Here is a 24,668-nt window from a genome sequence, read left to right as displayed (position 1 = left end):
TGAGAGTCTCACTCTGTCACCAGGCTGGAGTGCAGTGGTGGGATCTCAGCTCACTGCAACCTCCGCCTCCCGAGTTCAAGCAATTCTCCTGCCTCAGCCTCCCTGGTAGCTGGAACTACAGGCACCCGCCACCACGCCCAGCTAATTTTTGTATTTTTGGTAGAGCAGGGTTTCACCATGTTGGCCAGGATGGTCTCTATCTCTTGACCTCGTTATCCACCCACTTCAGCCTCCCAAAGTGCTGGGATTACAGGTGTGAGCCACCATGCCCAGCCCAAATAAACATTTTTTAGACAAAAACTTTACAACCAACATATACTCATTAAAGTTATTTGAAAAAATATACATCAAGAAGTAGGGAAACTATTGCTGAAGAAAGGTCTAAAATGCAAGAAGGAATATTGAACAAAAAGAAATGATAAATGTGGATAAAAATTTACTCTGGGATATAGTGATGATGATTATGAAGTCATCTAATTTGCATGGTTAGAAAAAAACAGTAGTAAAATATTTGATAACAAGAATATATTAGTTGGGAGTGAGCAGTATATGTTGAAGTGTCTTCAAATCCTTATAATGTTTGAACAAATGACAGATTCAATTGTCAAATGAAGTTGTAGAAATAAATCCAAACTTACGGAAACTCATAATAAATGTAAATGAATTCTTATAAAAAGAAAATAAAGTATAAGGGAGAAAAGAAGATTTCTTTGTTCACCCATCGCTAAGAGCATGGCCAAAACCCTCATAACAAAAGACACAAGGGAAAAGCACACAAGGAAAAGCATACAAATTTATTTAATGTAAGTTTTACATGACACAGAAGCTTTCGGGAATAAATACCCAAAAGGAATGGGGAAAACTGTGTATTTTTATGGACATCATGCAGAAGTATGATTGAAGAACAAAAGAGTATGGTTCAATATTAGTAAACTGGGGGATCTGGCAAAGCCTGTTTGTTCAGATTCTTCTTGACATCTCTGTGTCTTTAAAGATAAAGATGTTCTTTGGATATAGGGAGGGTATGTCTGGAATGAAGGTTTCCTTCAGAGGAAGGTCAGATTCTTCTTTATAGTCTGCTTCAAGGGAAAAAGGCCAGAGAAAAATGAGAGTAATCTTCCTGCTTCTGTTGTTTCCACACAGGCAGAAGTGCCGTATTTTGGGGTTGTAGTCATGAATCCTGTCAAAAGGAATAAATCAGATATACCAAGTAACTATAATGCTAAATAAAGTCAGGGAAACAAATTGATATCAGGTAACACAAACTTTTGGGAGAGAAACATCATAATGAACAAAAAGGGATATTATAAACAGGTTAAAGGAGCAAAAATCAAAACAAGAAAAATGTAATGGAAATGAAAGAAGGAAAATAGAGATAAGGATAGAAATCAGTAAAATAGAGATGATTAAATGAAAAGTATTTTAATACAACTGCAAACTTTTGGCAAGACATATCAAGAAAAAGAATTTAAAATGTATATATTATAATTAAAGTGGGTAAATAATTTTAGTAAGTATTAAAAATATAAAAATGCTGTGGAAAACTATATGCCAGCAAATTTGAAACCTAGATGAAAAGGGTACATGTTTGGAAACATGTAAAATGTCCAAATAGTAAAGCTGATGAGGGCAATAACCACCAAATAAATTAAAAATACTAATAATGGCAGTTTGTTCTCCATGAAGCCAAAAATAACTTGTTAAACCAGAAATAAGATTCCTAGAACCCTCTTCTGAGTTAGAGCTGGCCAAAAAAGGAATGTGCTAAAGACGAGGAAGGTGAAAGTGAAGGAGCTGCCACTCCTCTCTAGAGGTTGCCATAGTCTCTGTGTTGACAGACAGGTGGTTGGCTGGAGCCAGCCTGTGCCAGGTCACAGGAGCTGACGGTGCATATCTCTGCAACTTCACATTCAGCGACTCACATTGATAGCTTGAAATAGGGCGTAGTAGCAATATTTACACTACAAAAACCGGAAAACACTTAAATCAGGAATTTTCCCTACTCCCCACCCCCAACACAAACCCTGGAAAGGTGGTTGTTATGTATTTACCACTGTGTGTGTCTATCACATTGTGATAGACATAAAGCTGTCAATAACTTCCCTGTGAATCAACCCTAGGTTCATTATCAGATGCTATGAAGACAATGATGATCTCTATCTTATTCAAAAAATTCTAGTAAGTAGAAAAAGAATGTAAGCTTCCTGATCATATAACAAAGCTAATTATTAACCTCAAACCAAAGCCTGGATATAAGAAAATGACATTATAGGATCATTTTAGTATGTGAACATAGATCCCAAAATCCTAAATAAGATATACATTTACTGTTCTAATGCTATATTAAAATGTCTGTATCACAGTCAAACAGATTTTATCCCAGGAATGTAGCAACTGTAACATAAGAAAATCTAGTCGTCATAATGCCCCATATTAATGGTCTAAAGCAGAAAAAATATATGATCATTCCAATGGATGCAGGGAGGCATCTGAAAAATCTCAATACTTTACAGGATTATTTAAAGAAAACCAAATAACAAAACAAAGCAACAAAAAAACTGAGAAAAACTGAAACAATAGAAGGCTCTCCTAACTTGATAAATATCTGCCCAAAATTCTACAGCAAATACATAATCAATAGTACAATATCAGAAATACCACCACTATTTAATGTAGTACTAGAAGACTTGATTAATGCCACAAAACAAAGAAAATAGGTTAGAAGTATGAAGATTTTGAAGAAGGTGAAATTGTAATTTTTAGATTATATTATTTCTTACCTAGAACATTGAAGAAAGTAGATACTTTTACTAATAAGTTTATGAAATCTTGTAAGTAAACTATTAATAAGAATATCCATAGACATATCTTTACCAATACAACTAACTAAATTATATAATAGAAAACAAAATACTAGTCACTGCCACAGCAAAATATCAAATAAATATCTAGGAATCACCCTAAATAAAATGTTTTCTTCAGTGTAGTGATTCCTCAAAGACTGAAAAACAGAGCTATCATTTGACCTAGCAATCCTATTACAAGATATATACCCAACAGAATATAAATTTTTCTATTATAAAGACACAGGCATGCATATGTTCATTGCAACACTATTCACAATAGCAAAGATATGGAATGCCCATCAATGTTAGACTGAGTAAAGAAATGTGGTACATATACACCATGGAATATTATGCAGCCATAAAAAAGAATGAGATCATGTCCTTGCACAGACATGGGTGGAACCGTTATCCTCAGCAAACTAATGCAGGAATAGAAAACCAAATGCCACATGTTCTCACTTATAAATGGGAACTTAATGATAAGAAAACATGGACATATAGAGGGGAACAACACACACTGGGGCCTATAGGAGGGTGGAGAGAGGGAAGAGGGAGAGGATCAGGAAAAATAATTAATGGGTACTAGGCTTAACACCTGGGTGATGAAATAATTTATACAACTAACGCCCATAACACAAGTGTACCTATATAACAAACCTGCACATGTACCCCTGAACTCAAAAGTTGAAAAACAAATAAATAAAATGTCTTCCTAACAAGTGCAGGAAAAAATAACTCTATTAAAGATTTTTAAAACTGAGTAGAAAGTTATGCTATGTTCAAGGATGAAACCATTAAATGGTTAAAACACATCAATTGTCACTCAGACTACTCTATTTATATCATGTCATTCCAAAAACAGAATTGAGTAAAATTTGCAATTTCATAGGCTCTTCCCACAATTATAAGTAAGAACACAGAATCAGTCAGCAGGACAGTTTAGAAAAAGAAAATGAATAACTTGCTTTAGCAGATATTACGAAGCCAAACAATTAAAGATAGTTGATAGAATAGACAGATGGATAGATGAATAGATAGAGATGGATCAATAAATAGGTAGTAATTGGTGCAAGAATAGACTATTAAGCCAGTGGGAAACAATATATTAGTTTTGTAATAAAGAGGCATCATAAATCAGTAGGAATAAGATGCATTATGAAGTAAATTCTGTATATAAATGGAAAAACACAGTATATACAAAACTATAAAGCTAAAGAAAAAATACAAAAGAATATATTTGAGACCTTGGGGGTAGATTAGGAAATCAGTTTTTAAAATAGTCAAAATAGATACTATAAAGGGAAAAATTAATTTTAATGCAATCAAATTTCATGAAAGATTCATGTTCAGTGAAGCATGTCATAAACAAAATATGAATGACAGACTAATGGAAGACATTCACAATGTTTAAGACAGTCAAGGGAATAAGTACAAAAATATAAAAGGAATTCTCATAAATCATCAAGAAAAAAATGGAAATCTATAAGTAAAATGAGCAAGGCTATGAATAGGCAATTTACAAAAATGAAAACCTTAAATGGTTTATAAGAATATGATGTTTAGCCTTATTAGTAATCAGAGAAATGCGAATTAAAAGGAGATGCCACTTTACATACATTATTAGAATGGCAAAATGTAAAAGGTCAGATAGCATCAACTACTGAAAGCCTCGTGAACTACTGGTGGAAGAACATTGAGTGTGAGAACATCCCAGCACTCAACAATCGTCCTTAAAGAGTGAGCCACATATGAAGATGATAGTTAAAGCATTTTTTCTCATACCAAGATGCTGGAGGCCTACAAGGTTTTGATCACTAAATGAATGGGTAAGTAAAATGTAATAAATACATATAATGGAAACATAAAATAACAAATAATATTTAATAATAAATATTTTTAATGTTGAGAGAAAATATTAGGAGTGTATTTTGTAGCATAAAATCATCTACATAAACTGAAGACACCCCAAAATAAAGCAGCATGTTTGTTACAGACATATACCTAAATGAACATATGAACAACATATAACATGGTATGTTATATGTTAAATTCAATGAAGATGATGCCTATATATAGGTTAGAATCAGGGTAGAAGATAAAAGAAAGAAAACACCGTAGAAGATAAAAGGTAAAGCAATGATAAGTGTCTTAATTCAGTTTGTGTTGCTGTGCAGAAATACCTGGGACTGGGTAATTTATAAAGAAAAACAGTCCATTTTGGCTCACAATTCTGCTGGCCAGAAGACTGGGCATCTCATGAAAGCTTCAGGCTTTTCCACTCAGGGAAAATGAAAGCGAGCAGGTCTGTGCAGAAATCACATGGCAAGAGAGGAAGTAAGAGAGAGGAGGGAGGTGCCAGGCTCTTTTTAACAACCAGCTCTCTGGGAACCAATAGAGCAAGAACTCACTCACTGCAGCGAAGACAGCACCAAGACTTTCATGAGGGATCTGCACCCGTGACCCAATCACCTCCTATTAGGCCCCACATCTGACATTAGGGATTAAATTTCAACGAGATTTGGAGAGTCAAACAACCAAAATATAACAATGAGATTACTATGAATTGAGTAAGAACAACTCAACTCTTGTACCTGAAGTTCACACTAGGAAAAACAAAAGGGTCTTTGGATTTCATTCACAGGCACACATTGACATGTTAGGAGAAAAATGACCATCTGTGTCACATAACTAAATGTGAGTTCACAGATTCCATTTCATCCAACTGATTTCTAGATAGATGACACATTCTTAAGTCTAAATGATAAACTTGTGCACCCAAATGGAAGGAGAGAATGTTATTTTCACCTTTCCCCTACCCCACCCACACACATACAGAAACAATAAAACACTGACATTGGTATAGGAAGAACCTGCCATCCCTGAACAGTATGCAACTTATCAAATCATGATTTTATTATCTCCACACTTCTGCAAACTCCCAAATCTTCAAAGAAGAGTAACTCATACATCTAAGATTCAGTCAGGGGATTAGCTTAAAATAGAAGTAAAATGAGGCATAGTTTGTCTAGAGATTTTTCCTTGGAAAACAAACTACTCTATGCAATTATGTTGAGAATTGAAAACTGCTACAGATGGCTTACTAAGTCTATTAATACCAAAAGACCATTATATGCAATTTTGTCATTAATTGCAAAAATCCCATTGATTTTAATCTACAAAAGTAATAAATCCAACACACACAATAATTGCTTGTATTTCTAAACCCTAAGAGATTAGACATTTTAAATCTTCTTGTCTCCACTCTTAACTAGGGAATTTAAATATTAGAAAATAAATTTGAAGCATCTACTTTGAAGATGAAAGTATAAATTTTGTCATGGAAACATAAAAACAAATTAATTCAATTTACACTATTTACTGCACTATAGGGTTTCTACTAAAAAATGTGATATAAAACTAAACATTAGCACAATTTAACATTCTTGACTCAGAAATAGACCAAACATAGTTCTTAACTCAAATAATATTGCAAATCATGTATTTTACAACATATTTTCCCAATTGTGACTATAGCTACATATATTTTATTATTGGCCTTATGTCTTAAAATAATTTTATTTATATTAAAATTTCCAAATATACAGTCACAATTCTGTAAATACTTTTCATTAGGTTTTAATTTTACAATTTAACAGTAGTCAAATGCAAAAGTCTTAATAATGCTTCTAGCACAAACTACATACTTAAAGAATGTTAAAGCGTACACTAAAGATATAATTGAGAAGGAGAAAGTGCTAAAGACTAACCTTGAACACTAAATGATTCCAAATTACTTTTTCTTTAACATTTGTATGTCTAATTTTGATAAACAAATGGAAACTAAAAATGCAGATTATGATTATGTCTGGGAGGAAAGATTACAGGTGATTTTTAGTTTTCACCTTCATACTTTCATTTTTTCCATATTTTTCAAATTCTCTCTCTAGGACACCTACTTCTCTTTTACTCAGAGGAAGAATAAATCTTAAAACGAAGAGGACGTTCACAGCCAGCAATATTGTTAACCACATATCTGGAGTACAGATGAAGTATAGACCACTGAAAATTATAGATAAAATATAGGATTTTTAAAAAACACATCTAAAGCTTCAAGGCTAAGAATTTTTTAAAAGAGAAAAAAATAGATAAGACACTGAGCAAGAAGAGAATAAGTTAGGGTTGAATAAGTGATGACTTTACTAACAAGCATTCTAATTTCTAAAGGAAGCTTATTAAAATATTGATTAACTTAAAGCATGAAATTAAATATGCCTGTTAAACTTTTACATTTTACTCCAAGCTCTATAAAAAGTAGAGTGCCCATTTTCATAGCAGTTTTTACAGTTTTAGTATCATCTCAGGATATGATAGAACTATCATTGCATATCGATGAGGAATTTTGTATTATATACTAAATGGTACTGAGACAATTGGTTGATCAGATGAAAAAAAAGAATGAAATTGAATCCCTCCCATACATCACAAAAACCAATTTCCTGCAAACAGAAGCCACAATGAGATATTACTAAACACACATTCAAATGCCTAAAATTAATGACTATCAATACCAAGTGTGGGAGAGAATGTGAAGAAACTTGAATTCTCATACATGGCTGGTGGAATACAAAATAGGACTACTTTTGAAATATTTTGGTAGTTTTTTATAAAGTTAAATATTAACTTATTATTCCTGGCTGTTTTTTCAAGATATATAAACATATGCTCATACAACAACTTGAATACAAATATTCATGACAACTTTTTTCAAAATAATTTAAAAAAAACTGCAACAGTTTATTAATGGGTAAATAGATGCACAAATTATGGACTATCCCACAATAGAATAGAATGAGACTCAGCAAATAGAAAGTAAGAAGGAAACAGCTACTGCTACATACAACAACATGGATAAATCTCATTTACATTATGCTGAGTGAAAGAAGCCAGATGCAAAATAATACACACTGTAAGTTTCCGTTTATATGAAATTCTTATAAAAGACAAAACTAATCTCTGGTTATTCAACAGATAAGTGGTTGGTTGGGGCCAGGTGACTTGGGAGCAACAGACTGTAAAGGGAGCTTTTTGAGGTGATGCAAATATTCGACCTCTTGCTTGTGGTAGTGGTTACGAGTGTATGCATTTGTCAAAACCCAAACTATACACTTTAAATAGGTATGTATTTTATTATATGTGAATTAAACCTCAGTAAAATGTGTGTATACATATATAATTTTATATATAGGTACATATGTGATACTTATGTATAATAAAAACTTAAATGTTAAAGACAAAGCCTTAAACACCTTCTAGAAAAAAAAATCAGAGAATAGTTCTGTTTTCTGCATAAAGAGTAAGTTTTTAAACAAATCATAGGAACAAAATTAAGACAAATAGATTTGACTACCTTAAAATTGTGAACTTCTTCAATGATACATCAGGAAAAGTGATAGTCAAAATCATAACCAGGGAAAAGATATGAAACACAAAATGACAAAGGATTAGTATCCAGAATATTTTTAAAACTCCTATGAATCAAAAAAGAAAACCCAATTGAGAACTGATAAGATAAAAATAAGCAATTTACTTAAGTGTAAATAAATGTAACTGACCAACAAACATATAAATACATGAAAAGATGCTAAAAGTCATTAAGTAGATTCAAATTCAAACCATAACTTGATACCATTTCACACCCACCAGATCTATAAAAATTAAAATGTCTGACACAGTTAGGGATAAGACAGTAAGATTTTTATTTACTACTGGTAGAACTCTAAATTGGAACAGGTACTTATAAAACTATTTAGCATTACCTGGTATTGTTGAATATGTTCATATCCTGTGACTTAGCAATTCTACCCAGGCTAAAATATTGCAAATAATTAATAGCAACATAGTTAATTTGGATGTATTAAGTTCCTTTAGAACAGTAGTTCTCGAACTTTTGCATGCATCATCATCCCCTGGAAGGATTTATTGAAACACAGATTCCTGGGCCCATCCCAGTTTCTGATCGGACAGCTCTGGGATGGTCCCCTAGGACTGGCATTTCTAACAAGATCCTTGGTGATGCTAATGCTACTGAAAGTTGAAAGAAAAGCCACACTTTAAGATCTACAGCTCTAGAGTAATGTGCTGTCCCAAACATAAAAGTGTAGTTAAAAAAAAAAATCTTCTTTTGCTTAAGAGATCTGCTGTGAAATTTCAAGGAGAAATATTGTTGCTGAGAAACAAACACAAAACAGAAAAAAACAGTAAAATAAGTTTACCCCAAAAAGGAGTGTGCCTCAAAGTAATTGACAGCCTCTTTGATTTTAAGTCACAATACATGCTACAGGTGAAGTTATTTGCTTTATAGTCCTAGAATCTGAATATAGACACTAATATTTTATCAACTGCAACAAATTAATCGATCATTTTCTAATCGGGAGACTTTTCTGCCATCATTTCTAGTTTCTCAATAATCTGTACACTGCTTTTTATAGAATAGTGAGTAAATTATGCAAGAGATCTAATTATACCTATTTTTCAGTAGGCAAGATGGGTAAACCATGGACTTAAATAGCAAGAAATGAACATCTAATTTTAATTTACTTTCTCTCAACCTCAAGAAAAAGAAGAAAATTCCAGTACAATTTATATTTGAAAATCCAGTGTAGACTAACCAACTCTAAACAATTCATTTCAAACACAATTGTTTTGCAATTCCCAAAGATATTTCCCCTGGGACTATCCATGACAGCTTTAAAATCATAAAATTATATAAAAATTGTTCCAGGCATATAATGTTTGACCAGATTTTTCATTTTATGTTATGGCATCATCAAGCAATTTCATTAAAACCTAATAACTATCTATGACTAATAAAAGAAAATACATGTATATTCAAAGAGGTTTGAGTTTTTTAGCAAGAATAATTTTATCAAAAATAGGAAACTTAATACATAAGAGCTTTTCACGTGTCTCAATGCAAACAAATTTACATGAAATGCTAGTAACTAGTCAATTTAAAATTATTGTAATATTATCAGCTATATCTAATTTCCACTAAAAAGATAAAATTATATGAGGTTCTATGAACAAATAGTAATTGCAATAATAGTTAATAGTGTTATAACTGAGAAAATGATTTCATGCTATTAAATCAATGAGGAAAGAGATAAGCCTGAATAAATATGTAAGAGTTGGTAAATACTGAATAAGAAGGAGGCAAAATCTTACAAAGAAATTCAAGGAATTGTTTAGCCAAGGACATTTCTCCATAGACTTAACAATGATACCAGTGAATAAAATCCCATCATCAAAAGCCAAGATACGCCCCATGCTGCATAAACTAGAATGGGCTGATTCACTCCTCTAAAGTTGAAGTTTTTGTATTATAAAACGGGAACAGTTGAGTAGGCTTTCTCATCCAAAATTTTATGTACTCCACAAAGATGTCTAGGAGGAAAGAGAAAGCCAAACTCCATCCCTGGTCTACTTAGACAGCCTTGTCTCCTGCATCCAAGCAGAGGGGCTACCCTTTGCTATTTCACACAAATACACCATATATACTAGTGACAGCCCTGTTAATAAAACCTATTCTATGCTGCTGTTTTAAAAATTTAAAAAAGAGTGGATTGATGGTTACCAAAGGCTGGGAAGGAAAGGAGGAGTGGGGAATGAAGAGAAGTTGGTTAATGGATACAAAAATACTATTAGATAGAAGGAATAAGTTCTAATATTTGATATTAGAGAGATTATAATTAATAATAACTTATTGTATATTTCAAAATAGCTAGAAGAAAAGAATGAATGTTCCTAGCACAAATAAAAGATACAGGTTTCAGGTGATGATTATCTCAATTACCCTGATACAATCATTACATATTATAAACATGTATCGAAATATCACATGTACCTCAAAAATATGTGCAACTATTATATATTGATAAATATCAAGTCCAAACATGATCAAACTTCAAAAATAATAAAGGAGGTAAAGTGTGGCAAACATTAGTGTAGTGACTAGCACACAGAAAGCACTTAATAAAGATTAGCTATTATTGAAATGTCAGCTTTCATTAAGATCTAAGGATCAGCTCTATACAAATATCATTATGGACAGAAGAATTTTTAAGATAGTCGGTTAAAGAAATGGTACTCTATCTTGACTTTCTGAATTATTGTGGTATGGGTTGCATGACTGTATACATTGGTGAAAGCTTAATTTGCATCCTTAATCTTGGTGAATGTTACTATAAATTATACCTCAATGATACCGAATTTTTAAATAAAACAAATCTGCTGGAGTTTTCCTGGGATTTTTTGTGCCTTACAAAAAGATAAAAGAACCTAAAATCTGTCCCTTTTGTAACCCTGACAGATCTTCTGTTTCCTACCTTGATCATGTTCACTCACATTAGGATTTAGCTTATGGACTTCGGCAGCCATTTTGTGACCAGGAAGTAAGAAACCTAGAGAGGGAACAGGAGAATTATAGAGAGAATGGAGGAGGGAAAAAGACATAAAGCACCTGGGTTCTATTGCAATAGTGAGCTGTCAAAGCAGCCTTCCTGTACTTTCATTAATCCAACAGACAATGCTGTTAGATTTGGGCATACTATGACTCAATTCTCAAAGCAAAGCATTTTTACAAGTACCAAACTCAGGGAAATTTTCCACTTACAGTATTACGTACGGGAATATCAGATACTACAATGGACACAGACTTCAACTATATAAGGGCGGATGTTTGCTGCTCTGTGTTCCTAGTGTCCCTCCCTCTTCTGGAAACAACACACTGTGGGGAAATTTGTTTCTCTCCCACTGGATTCATGCCCTGGCCCTTAATATTTATGCCTAGTGTTCCATTATTGGAATGCTAAGAATGTGGGAGTTATTTACATCCTACTGTTTAAGATCATCGCCAAGGTCTGATTGCAAAAAATTCAAAAAATTGCAACCGCAGGCATAAATGGGTTAATACTATGTGTAAATTAAACCTTCTAATAAAGCTTTTTTATTATTCAGGAGCTTTGTCCAATCAATTGATCATTTGTTTGTTTTTACTGAAAATAAGTAAATAGTTCATTGTAGCCCCTCAGTGATACATAAGCATTTTTTACTATTTGAAGAAATAAAAGGAACTTTCCTGCATCATTTCCCCAAAACGATGGCAGAAGTTGGCTCCCTATCACATCTAATGAGAGTTGTCTCCCCCTGAACTTTCCAACACTTTACCAGCTATGAACTTGTCTGTGTGCAGAGTCCTGTGTTTGAGTGCTGACGTTGCTATGACACCTAATGATTAAAATTTAAGATGTTTGAGATTTTTATACCCGTGTCTAAGTGTACAGACAGAAATTGCTATAAACAATTTATGATTATAAGCTAAAATGAAATACTATAGGCTGGTGCTAGTTGAAACTGCCTATTCACCTTTTCACTTACCTCAAATTCTCCCCATCATCAGAATCTATCTTGAGCCTCCTTTGTAATGGAGTTGTCTCAAACTACAACAATGCATAATGATTTTCCCTGTTCTTCAACCATACAGTATAGATATGAGTAATAGATATTTGCATTTGGGCAATTTTATGTATAACTTTTTAACATTTATGTTAGGTTCAGCGGTACATGTGCAGGTTTGTTATATGGGTAAATTGTATGTCATGGTGGTTTGGTGTACAGATTATTTCATCACCCAGGTAATAATTATAGTACCCAGTAGGTAGGTTTTTGATCCTCACTCTCCTCCCACCCTCCACCTCCAAGTAGGCTATGGTGTCTGTTGTTCCTTTCTTTGGGTCCATGTGGATTCAAGGTTTAGCTGCCACTTATAAGTGAGAACATGCAGTATTTGGTTTTCTGTTCCTGTGTTTGTTCACTTAGGATAATAGCCTCCAGCTCCATCCATGTTGCTGCAAAAAAATATGATTTTTTTCTTTTTTATGGCTACACAGTATTCCATGGTGTATACGTACCACACTTTCTTTATCCAGTCTACTATTGATGGACATTTAGGTTGATTCTATGGCTTTGCTATTGTAAATAGTGTTGCGATGAACATATATAGGCATGTGTCTTTATGGTAGAATGATTAATATTCTTTTGGGTATATACCCAATAGTGGGATTGGTGGGACAAGTGGTAATTCTGTTTTGAGTTCCTTGAAAAATCATTAAACTGCTCGCCACAATAACTGAACTAAATTACATTCCCAGAAGCACTGTATAAGCATTACTTTCTCTCTACAACATCAACAGCATCTGTTATTTTTTGACTTTATAGTAATAGCCATTCCGACTGGTATGAGATGTTATAGTATCACATTGTGGTTTCCATTTGCATTTTTCTAATAATTAGTGATGTTGATCATTCTTCCATATGCTTGTTGGGTACATGTATGTCTTCCTTCTAAACTTGTCTGTTCATGTCCTTTGACCACTTTTTAAGGGAGTTGTTGGTTTTTTGTTTGTTAATTTAAGTTCCTTATAAATTCCAGATATTGCATAGAGCGCAAATATTTTCTCCTATTCTGTAGCTTGTCTATTTACTCTGTTGATAGTGTCCTTTGCTCTGAAGAAGCTCTTTCATTTAATTAGGTCCCACTTGTCAAGTTTTCTTTTTCTTGCAATGGTATTTGGCAGCTTCGTCATTAAATCTTTGCCAGGTCCTATGACCAGAATGTTATTTCCTAAGTTATCTTGAAGGGTTTTTATAATTTTAGGTTTTGAATTCAAGTCTTTAATCCATCTTGAGTTTATTTTTGCATATGGTATAAGGAAGGGTGTGTGTCAGTGGGGGCTACTCTACTGGAGCTCTTTGATGATCAGGCACAGTCTACCAGCAAAAGAGCTATGATGTGGCCCAACTGGGCATTTGGGGCTGCACCACAAACAAGCTCAGCCAGGCTGGGGCCCCGAGAGAGGCCAGAAGACAGGAGTGCACTCAGTTTGGAATAGGCTGATCTCACAAGCAAGATCACCCTGCTCTGTTCCAGTCTAACAGCTCCCTTAAGGCTAATGTCTCCTAGGGAAGCATGATGAGCCTGAGGAATGGGCGTTCCTGGCCATGCTCCATTGCAGAAATTCCTGTACCAAACCCTCAGGGCTCCACAGACGCTGGAGTCATGCCCTTACTACCTCTAAGAAGCTCTCCCTTCCAGCTCAAGTGTCCATGGGAGTGGTGGGGTCTCCTGCTGCCAGGATTCCAGAGATCCGTCGTGAGAGCATGTTACTGCTTGCCTGTTCAACTTACTCTTTCCCCAAGAGTCACTGGGCCAGGAATGAGTCCCTGTGCATGGCACAGTAGCCCTGTCCAGGGTTCCCAGCTTCCTCCCCCTTCAGCCAAGCATCTGTGTCCTCCCTTTATCCATTCTCAATGCCTTCCCTCCGATAATCTTCTTGGAGTATGCCAGTCTTCCTGATGCCCTGCTCCCTTAGTGGCAGATGCTTCTCCTGGCTACATCTAGTTAGCCATCTTTATTCAGTCTTAAAAAGGACAATTTTATATTTAATTTTATTCTCAAATAAGATTCCACACCACCAAACACTGCATAAAATGCTAGGCATATAGTAGGTATTTGTAAACACTTGTCTTTGAATCTAACACTTTTTATCATCTATCTTGGAAGTGGGTAACATGGTAAACACAGAATGTTAAACTTATGTTGAGTGCTTAAATAAAAACATTGGATACTAAATTAATAAAATTAAAATCTTTTTTGTTGTTTGTTTTTTTTGTTTGGGTTTTTTTTTGGTGTTTGTTTTTTGTTTGTTTTTTGTTTGTTTGCTTTTTTTTTTTTTTCATTTTGAGATGGAGTCTCACTCTGTTGGCCAGGCTGGAATATAGTGGCGTGATATCGGCTCACTGCAACCTCCGCCTCCTGGGTTCAAGCCATTCTCCTACCTCAGCCTTCCAAGTAGCTGGGATTACAGGCACGCGCCACCATGCCAGGCTAATTTTTGTATTTTTTAGTAAAGACAGGGTTTTGCCATGTTGGCCAGGCTGGTCTCAAACTCCTGACCTCAAGTGATCTGCCCTTCTCAGCCTCCCAAAGTGCTGGGACTACAGGCATGAGCTGCCACGCCCAGCCTAAAATTTTTATTTTTAAATTAATACATCACATCTTATAATTAACAGAATTCAAAACTTGTAAAATAGTGATCATCAAAATAAGCCAATGGGTTTCTCCAAGGCCTGTAAGTAACATTAAATATGAATCTTTGTACATTTTAACTATTTAAAGGATTTAAAAAGTATAATTTCTCATATTTGCTTCAAGAACTGCATGAGACAGATATTAGCATACCCTGTGACGTGAGAATATACTGAAGCCACATGAATAATAACTGGGCTGTCCAAAATCTCAGATCTCTACCTGTCTCTCTAGAGACAGAGCTGTGGAAATAGGATTATTCCATCACTCTAAGGAAGGCCATGTCTTCAGTAAAACACAACCGACACAAAACTACTGGCTGCTAATAAGTTGAAATTAATCTGTGGCTTAAACTGTATGATCCCTTAGATAATTTCAATTCTTAAAACCTTCACCATTCTTTATCATAAAATATAATTAAAATGAATGTGTGAATAGAAATAGAAAATCGAAAAGCAATTCTATATACTCAAGATGATAATAACGAAAAATTCAAAAGTAAAGTCAAAAATTTCTACATTGATAGTCCTGTTATTAATTAAGCTGGTAAAAGTTTAATGTTAAAGTACATATATGCCTACAAGCATTACTAATGAAAACTGTGAGATGGGTGATGTGTTCCAATATAAATAACTACTATCCTTCTCATCTGGAATAATTATTGTTCAAAAATAAAACTAACTGAAACAACTATAAAGATAACAAAATGCCTATATTAAGTTTTTACTCTTTCCTTAAATTCTATCATTACTTCATCCTCCTCAATAGATTATCCTATATCTAATCTATTTTCTTTTCACTAGTCCTAAAACAAAGAACTATCACTCTTCTTCTTCTTTTTTTTTTTTTTTTTTTCTGAGACACAGTCTCACTCTTTTGCCCAATCTGGAGTGCAGTGGCACGACCTCAGCTCACTGCAACCTCCGCCTCCCAGGTTCAAGCAATTCTCCTGTCTCAGTCTCCCAAGTAGCTGGGACTACAGTTGCATGCCACCACATCTGGCTAATTTTTGTATTTTTAGTAGAGATGGCGTTTCACCATGTTGGTCGGGCTGGTCTCGAACTCCTGACCTCAGGTGATCCACCTCCCTTGGCCTCCCAAAGTACTGGGATTACAGGCGTGAGCCACCACGCCCGGGCCCACTCTTCTCTAAGAAGAGACTTAAGATTGTATTTACTCTCTGTCTACTGGAACCTTTTCCTCCACCTAAAGTTGTCTCCTAATCTACCTACCCTGAGGTACCATCACTCTGAAGTCTTCTTTGGCTTTCTGTCTCTCTGCTTCCCTCCCTCTCTCCGCCATTCAAGTCTTGAAAGAGTAGCTCATACTTAGCTCCTTTCCTTAGATTGCTCACTCACTCTTATTCCACAGTAATCTGTTCAAACTACCATGCCCATCTCTTTCTTTGAAGATTTCTAATGGCCACTTCACCAAAAAATTCTAGAGCTATTTTTCAGTTCTCATTCTTCTAATTCCATATGTAACCATTCACAGTCTTGTCAATTTATCTTCCAGAACTCCCTTTTCCCATAGGACCATTATTTTCCTAGGTGTCTGACCTAACTCAGGTCCTCTTGCTGCTCCTTCACTAAATGTGAGTTTCCCCACAGCAGTACCTTGATCCTCCTCTCTACTCTTTGTATTTCTCTACCTACCCCCTTGGTATTCTTGGTATGTTAATCCAGCCTCATGAAATTAAATATCATCACTATGTAGAAGGCTACCTGATACATACCTCATCTCCCTTCTCAGCCCAGATCTTCCTTCCAAATTCTAGTCTTTTTCATGGTCTATCACCCTTTCCCTCACACATCGGAGGTGTTCATGGTTTTGGTTAATGGTGCTGCCATCCTTGCAGGTTTGAACTCTGTGAAACAGCTTCCTCTCCTTTGCTTCCCATTTATACTTAGGTTTAGAATCCACTCCTCTACTTTATTCCCAAGACAGCCTAATTCAGATCATCACTATTTCAGGGAGGCAGTGCAGTGCAGACATTAATAATGTAGGAACTGCACTCAGAATGCCCAGGCTCCATATCTTACAGAGGAACAGAGCAGGGAAAAGCAGTGATGAGGAACCCACAGGAACAGAAGGAACAATATTCATGGCCAATTTCTTGAAGCTTAGAACAGACAAGGGGCAAGATGATCAGTAGAGTCAATTCTTACTAAAACAGGGAATTATAAAAGACACAAAGAAAAGTGTTTTAGTGATTACTGTTCTCATCAATGCAAAGGAAAAAAATGGAGACGAGATGGAAGAGGGGACACCTACTCTATTGTTTGAGGCTCAGAATGAAGACCATTTTTATTGTCTTTTTCATTAGCACTCATGGTATTTGCATTGCACCATAATTTATCTCCCCAGAACCTAGCCCATACATAACAAGAATTCAAACATCTGTTGAATGAACATTAACAAACAGCAACTATTTATTAAGCACCTATCAAGTAACTAGACACAGAGAAGCTCAATTCACATACACTAGAAATTATTGAATCCTAGTTAGATTGGGAAAATGAGACTGCAATGATTTTACTATTCTTTCCAGTGCCCCACAATTTGTAAAGGATTGGGTCAGAAGTAAAACTCAATTCTATCCAACCTGAAAGTTCCTGCTCTTTTCCCTGTGTCATTCTTCACCAATAGTAAAAAGGCATTTTGAGAAGTCCTCCCAAGACTTGCCCAGGTTCTAAATGCTTGCATGAAATTTCTTCATAAAAAGTAAATCTATAAAATCTATAAAAGTAAAGTAATTGACTGGGGAGAGAGTTAAATTTAAGCTATTTTTATTCATTTCATTTGTACAAAGGAACAGAAAAGGTGTTGTATAAGTGAGTGAGTAAAAAGAGGGTGGGAAAATGGTGAGAAACTGAGAGCATCTAAGATTCCTAACTCAACATACTTTACCATTTTGCTCAAGGCCAGCCCTGAATTATCATTTCCAAATATCCTAGACATAAAACTTATCTGAAAGAGCCAGCAATCTTCATTAAATATAGATGAACAGGAAAGAGAAGATGTGAGAATGGAATACTCAAGTTGTACTTGCTCAAGGCAAAAACTTGGAGAAAAACAATGTAAGACCAATTTTTTCCTTTGACCTGTGACATAATTCTGCATGCATGCATTTTGGCTCCTAAGAATTTAAGATCAGTATGTTGAAATTTATCATTGTATGTAGCTAAGGTGGATTCTTCAAACTAATCATCTCCTTCAACTACAATACTTCATGCAGAAAATAAAACTAAACTAAAGCATAGTGGTTATCTTTGGACTAAAGCCCCATAATGTATTAACTATGCATTTGAGCAAGTAATTTATTCTCTCTATATCTCAGTTTTCTTCTCTGTAAAATATTGATAATGATAAGACTCTTGTTGTAATCAAATGATTTGTTAAATGCAGTGATAGAAAGTGTCTGGCACATAGTAAGTACTGAAATGTTAATTATCATTATTCCCGCTCTAGAAATTTCCATGAAGGCAGAGATGTTAGTCTTTTTTATATATTGCTATCTGCCTTTGAGCCTATAAAGTGCCTATCATATAGGAGGTATCAACAAATCAGTCAATGAGTGAATTTTAATAAATGAAAGAAAACATTTTTTGCCTGAAATCTCTAACACTATAAGCAAAAATGAAGTTTTGTATTTAGCCAGTCAGCCAAATGCTTCTACTCTCACTCTACCAGGTTACTAAGTACTGCTTTAAAGTCCTCTGGGGTAACAATTCTCTGTTTTCATAATGAGAATGTTGAAGGCAGTTTGGGCCCACCTCCTCATTCACCCTCTTGGTGCTTAATATCTCCCATCTGTTCAAGTTGATCGCATCCGTTACAGTCTCTAGGGAAAGAAAACACCATTTTCATTTGGGGTTCTGACTTTTATGAGGGAATGCTGGAGGTACTAAAATAATATTAATTAATGAAGATGAAGCCATCATCATTACTTGCTGATTGATCCCTCTATCCCTAACTGGCCAGGTGTTTGATGGGCAGTCACTTCACGGCTCAAATCCCCACTGTCAGGAAACTCTTACAATGAATGCAAATGGGACTTTACCTGCCTCGTGGGGTAATACGGCAAGCAATTAACAAATGTTCATAAAGTACTTGGAAAGAGATAATGGCACTATATAAATGTTATAGATTATTGCATCATGAAGCTTAAAATTATAATCAACTCTAAGATGGATTAACTGGAAAGGTAACAAAAACTTTCTCAAAGAGAGCCTCCTTTCAGAGGAGTATCAAAAGGGGCTGAATTTGCTGTGGCTTATAAATCAATATCAGACCCTTTACCCACACCCCTCAAGAAATAGGAATAATAAGTAGCTGCATGGTTGTGACTGAACAGAGGGGAAAATGAATATTGACAAAAATAAATCAAATCACCCCCAATCCAGAATTAAGCCAGAGATACAATCTGAGATACCTGGCTTGGAACTGGATTACAATTTGAAGGTGCCACAAAGACTATTTTTATGCAAGTCACAGACAGAACAACGTAGAAGCCAGTGTGCATATCAGTGCAGAGCATGCACACTAGTGCTGACTGCTCCCAAATGTATACCTCCAATCTCGACCACTCATTCCCAGCATCCTGCTTATCGTCTCCATTTTGGTAATAATGAGCACCTCAAATTGAGTATGTCCAAAATCAAGCTCCTGATCTTTCCCCTAAAAGAGCCCCCAATCCTCTTGTTCTCTGTAAATAGCAACTCTATCCTTCCATTTGCTCCAGCCTAAAACCTTGGACTCATTGTTAACCATTCTGTTTATCTTACATCCCTCATCCAAACTGGCAGTAAAATGTGTTGGTTTATCTTCAAAATGTATCCAAAATCAGACTTCTCACCACCTTTACTGCTACTAGTCTGATCCAACCCACCATCTCCTCTTGCCTGGATTACTGAAATAGTCTCCAATTGGTCTCTCTACTTCTTCCTTTCCTCTCTTTTAGTGTATTTGTAGAAAATCAAATCATGACATTCTAGTGCTCACAATCCTGAAATGATTTTCCACTTCACTCTGACCAAAACCCAAAGAGTCTTTCTAAGGGCTGATAAGAACCTACATGATCTCACCCTTCATCTCTGAGCTCATCTCCTACAACTCTTCCTTCCTCTTCCCACCCTCTAGCCACACTGGCCTCCCTACTGGCCCTAGATGGAATTAGGCAAGCATTTGCCTCAGGGCCTTTGCACTAGGGAAGTTCCTAACTTCCCTAGACATTCACATTGGCTTGCTGCCTAGCCCCCTTCCCATCTATCCTTACAAGTGACCAACTCAGGAAGAACTTCCCAAGCTTGTCTTTTTCCTGTCTAAAATTGCAGGACTCACTTCCACCTTGCTTATCCCTTTATCTCTTCTCTGCAATCTTTCTTCTGAGTACTTATCACCATGAGGCATTACTTGTTTATACATTTACTTTCTCCCCCCCTTATTTGAATATACTCTACAAGAGGGCAATCATTTTTGCCAGTTTCTTTTTGTTGTTGTTCACTGCCATTTCTCCATACCCTAGACCAGTGTCTGACGTATAACAAACACTGAATAAATATGCGTTAATTTTTTTTTGCCATTGTACTGGTCTTTGAAATCCCAAGTGCAAGAATTATTGCATTAATCATCTATGCGAAAGAACCTCACAGCACCATCAAGTAAAGATACCGGAAATGTGGTCGACCCACTCTCAGACGCCTGAATAGAAAACTTCTGGGCATGAAGATATTAAAGAGTAAAATTGGAATTTGTTTTTTTTCCATAGTTATTAGTATTGAATACTAGCCCTCCAGTCATAAAATGCAAGGCTGGCTTTTACTCGTGAATCAGGCTGGAGGGGAAGAAATCAAACCAAGATGCACATTTCATACTCTGGCACCATCCCTTGGATATAAGAGACAGTTTTGTTGAACAGCTAAAACAATGTTTTTAATGTGTAAATTCCAAAAGAAAATTAAAACTGGCAGCTAACTTGATGTTTAGAAAAGAAAAAAACCTCCTGTTCAGCAATCATTAAGATCTAGAGCTGTGGTAATTCCCTCTAATAAAATAATTTATGATTTTCTTGGAGTTGAAAAAAGGATGGTGCACCTGAGCTTCTGATTTATAAAAAATGCATTTCAGGCTCTTTTTTTTTAACTGCATCTTTATTTCAGTTTTACAGTTCCTCCGTCAAAGCAAATAATAATAGTAAGTGCTTTACAAGAAGGTAAAGGCCACAGAAGGAGGAAAGACAGATACAATAAATTGAAAAGAGAAAGGGGTGGACTTCTGGAATCATCTTGGAGAGCTCTCAGGTGTGACACAGTGGCCTTCCCTGACCACCCAACCTGAAGTGTTCCCCCAGCATCCCCCAATCATTCCATTTTAATTGTTGAAAGATAACTCACCTGATTCTTCCTATGCATTATCTGTCCTCAACTCTAGGAGTCCCAAAGACAAGGACCAATCTCTTTGGTTTGCCAGTGTCCTCACAGTGACAGGAATGACACCCAGCAAAGAGCAGCTGCTGAATACAAATTTGCTGAATGAATAAATGCATTAAATATTTTAATTTTTTTCCTCTTGTACTATACCCAAGTAGGAGGTATGATGTCAACTCTTGTCAATTAATGAATTAATCTGAACAGCTAAGAAGATTTGAGAGAAACACATGCTTTTGTAAGGTCTAAGTTCTCCACATAAAAATTAGTGCCATATAAAAGAGAGTCCTGTTAAATGTAAGCTCATCCCTGCTGCCCTCCTTAGCTCCCAATACAATAAATGAAACGTACATTTCTGTTGGCTCCTACTTGCTGGTGACATTTAGTTTTAATTCAAACCAGTCTTCATAAATTCTGGTACTCTGCACAACATCTTAAATGGCTCTATTCTTTATTCAAAATCATCCCTCTCACTCCCAGAATTGTAGTAAATAGACCTTCTAAAGGGGAAATAAAACTATTTCAACAATAGGCCTATTTCAGCAGTTTTTCAAAAGGTATTTTTTTCATTCCCTTGGTGAGAGTTTTCGTTTTATGCTTGGAAAGTTGTGTTATATATACATGTATTTTAGTCCAAATGGATGTGGCGTTTTTGTTGTTGTTATTGTTGATTTCAGCTTTTCTATTTTCCACTTCAGTATGTTTGCAAAAGCAAAACTTCATATTTCTCTTATTCCTCCATTTGTGAGTCTCCATTATTGAACCCATGTTCTCTTTTAAAGAAAGAATACTCAAGATACTCTGATTTGTATTTTCCCCAATGGAAAAAAAAATTGAACTTATAGATCAGAATATTTATAGCACATAATAATCTCAAATAAGCTTTCATTTTTCTACACAACTTTTTAGGAGTGACTTACATGCATAAAAACCTTTTCTAACTTTTTCTTCTTACATACTGTAAAAATCAACCCGGAGTCCTCAGAATCATAATCTAGCCAGAAACAATTCCATGCTATCTCTGCAACGCCAGGAGGGATTACTATAAGTGGGGGTGAAGGGAATACTTCAAGAGCACGGTTCTTTTTCTCCTGTAATCAACAGCTTCAGTACCACCAATCCCTCTCTCCAGCCCAAAGCCCCAAGGTAACTCTAAGCCTTCAGAGTATTAAAACTTAGGGTTTAAGTTGATCCTAAAGAAATAGTCAGAACTGTACACAAAATGTGTATACACAAAGGTTTATCACATTATTCTATTATACTAGCAAAAATATATATAAACATGTACCCATACTGAAGGAAAAAAAAAGACTGGAATGAATGAAATAAAACAATTTAACACCATGATGAATCTGAATGGAGGAATTATCAATTTTCCTTGTTTTCCTCTTTTTACTTTGTATTTCTAACTTTGTGCAATCATCTTGTATCACATTAAAAATCAATTTAAAAATATTTAAGAAAAAAATTTTAACAAAATTTTGAGCTAAGGTGGCCGAGAGCCAAGCCAGACAGTTGGAGGAGAAACTTCAAACCATGGACCAGACCGTCAAGTCCCTGATGGCCTCAGAGGAGGAGTATTCCACCAAAGAAGAGAAATATGAAAAGGAGATGAAACTGCTGGAGGAGAAACTGAAGGAGGCTGAGACCAGAGCAGAGTTTGTCGAAAGGTCTGTGGCAAAGTTGGAGAAAACCACCGATGACCTAGAAGAGACGTTGGCCAGTGCCAAGGAGGAAACGTGGAGATTCATCAGACCTGGGACCAGACCCTACTGGAACTCAGCAACCTGTGAGGCTGGCCCTGCCCGCAGCCAAGCTATAGTTGCGGCCCCAACCGAATCAAACTGACAAAACTGACGTTACCAGCCAAACAACAACAACGACAACTCACCTCATGCCTCTTTTTCCCTTATTTTTACTTATTCTTTACTAAAAATATGGATCAATTCTAATACCTAACACATTAACTGCGTCCAGTTTTGTTTCTTTTCAGTCCTTATCCACAGACATGTCTATCTGATGTAGTTGCAAAGATGTTAAAAGATTTTACATTTTACTCTCTATTTAATTTTATAGATGAGACTCTTATTTTAAACAATTGTATGTTTTAATTCAAAGAAAAAAGTAATTCTATGAGGTTTTGACTGGAGATAGCTTTCCACCAAAGTATAAACCCTAAAAGCAAACACAGCTATAAAAATTAATTACACCAAATTGCTTCAGCAAGGTAAACAGCAAACCCAGGACCAAGTGTTAAAACTTGAGAGAGTCAATTATCAAGCTATCTAGTAAAAGCCTCCAAAAAATCGATAATCCTCCAGCCTGACTTTCATGATGACATTAGAAAGAGCATTTAACTTTTTTATATAAAGAACAATCTCATGGAAAGCTGGTCTATGTTAATCTTTTAAACCTATTACCAACATTTTATGCATCATAATCCTAGCTAAACCGGAATATATACATATATATATATATGTATATATATATATATATTTAGGTTCGCGCAACAACAGCACTTTCTAAAAGGGTCCCTGCCAGGCAATAACACTATTCATTTACTAAATATTGCCTGGGGAGCCAGCCATGCATGACTCATTAACACAGATGGAAGTTTCACATTATATCCCAGGTCCGTGGAACAAATGGAGTGACCCGTTATTGTTTCTTCTCCTTTCATATCTATGTAATGTGGATTGTAAAGAGAATTTGATCTGCTCTGCTTTACTCCACTGCCAGATGCCATTAGATTCATATTTTGAGTTTGTTTCTCCTTTGTACCCAGGTATCATTTATCCTCATGAGTATACAGGTAGAGAAAAATCCACACCTTAAGCCATTATCTTAAAAATAGTTCTTGATCAACCTGTTATTTCTCAATAATTTTTTGGTGAAATTGCAAGTAAGGAAAATTTGATACTCAGAAAAGTTGTTACGTAGCCTATAAACTTGTACCCTGATAGTACCAAACATTGCATGTTCTCACAAAACAGAGGAGAATTATTTTATAACAGAGTAGTCTAGCAATTTTCTTTTTCTAGTATTACTATTTTCTAGTATTACTATTACTCATGCAAATAATGAAGTTAACTTAAGGCTCTGTAAACAATTAAGTAAGAAACACTTGTTTCTAAACCTCTAACAACATGATGAAATGAATTACAGCCTATCTAACCAAGAGATTATATCAAAGCCATTGACTATGATGACATAGGTCTCTATTTATTGTCCAGGACAGATGCTTAGAAT

General features: G+C 35.3%; 1 long non-coding RNA gene across 6 annotated transcripts, besides 1 other annotated feature; it reads right to left on the bottom strand.

Moving 5' to 3' along the window:
- Positions 1 to 775: 775 nt before the first annotated feature.
- Positions 776 to 23,251, bottom strand: LOC102724458 (uncharacterized). 6 transcript variants are annotated; one of them, XR_941167.3, is made up of 6 exons: positions 23,176 to 23,251; positions 21,387 to 21,505; positions 18,780 to 18,835; positions 11,231 to 11,305; positions 8,254 to 8,270; positions 776 to 1,180 (listed from the first exon to the last, which is right to left on the bottom strand). It is a non-coding gene; the product is annotated as an uncharacterized LOC102724458 (long non-coding RNA). The 6 variants fall into 6 exon arrangements; XR_941163.2 differs by having other exon boundaries at positions 18,768 to 18,835; positions 23,176 to 23,247; XR_941166.2 differs by having other exon boundaries at positions 18,768 to 18,835; positions 21,387 to 21,502; positions 23,176 to 23,225.
- Positions 13,907 to 14,407: an enhancer, noted in NCBI's record as "H3K27ac hESC enhancer chr5:163145016-163145516 (GRCh37/hg19 assembly coordinates)". NCBI's record gives its function as "activates a minimal SCP1, AML or CMV promoter by ChIP-STARR-seq in primed H9 embryonic stem cells {active_cell/tissue: H9 hESC(primed)}" and the evidence as "EXISTENCE:reporter gene assay evidence [ECO:0000049][PMID:30033119]".
- Positions 23,252 to 24,668: the final 1,417 nt, after the last annotated feature.

This window comes from Homo sapiens, chromosome 5 (assembly GCF_000001405.40).
Source record: "Homo sapiens chromosome 5, GRCh38.p14 Primary Assembly".
Taxonomy (NCBI): domain Eukaryota; kingdom Metazoa; phylum Chordata; class Mammalia; order Primates; family Hominidae; genus Homo; species Homo sapiens.
This window is presented reverse-complemented; position numbering and strand designations above follow the sequence as displayed.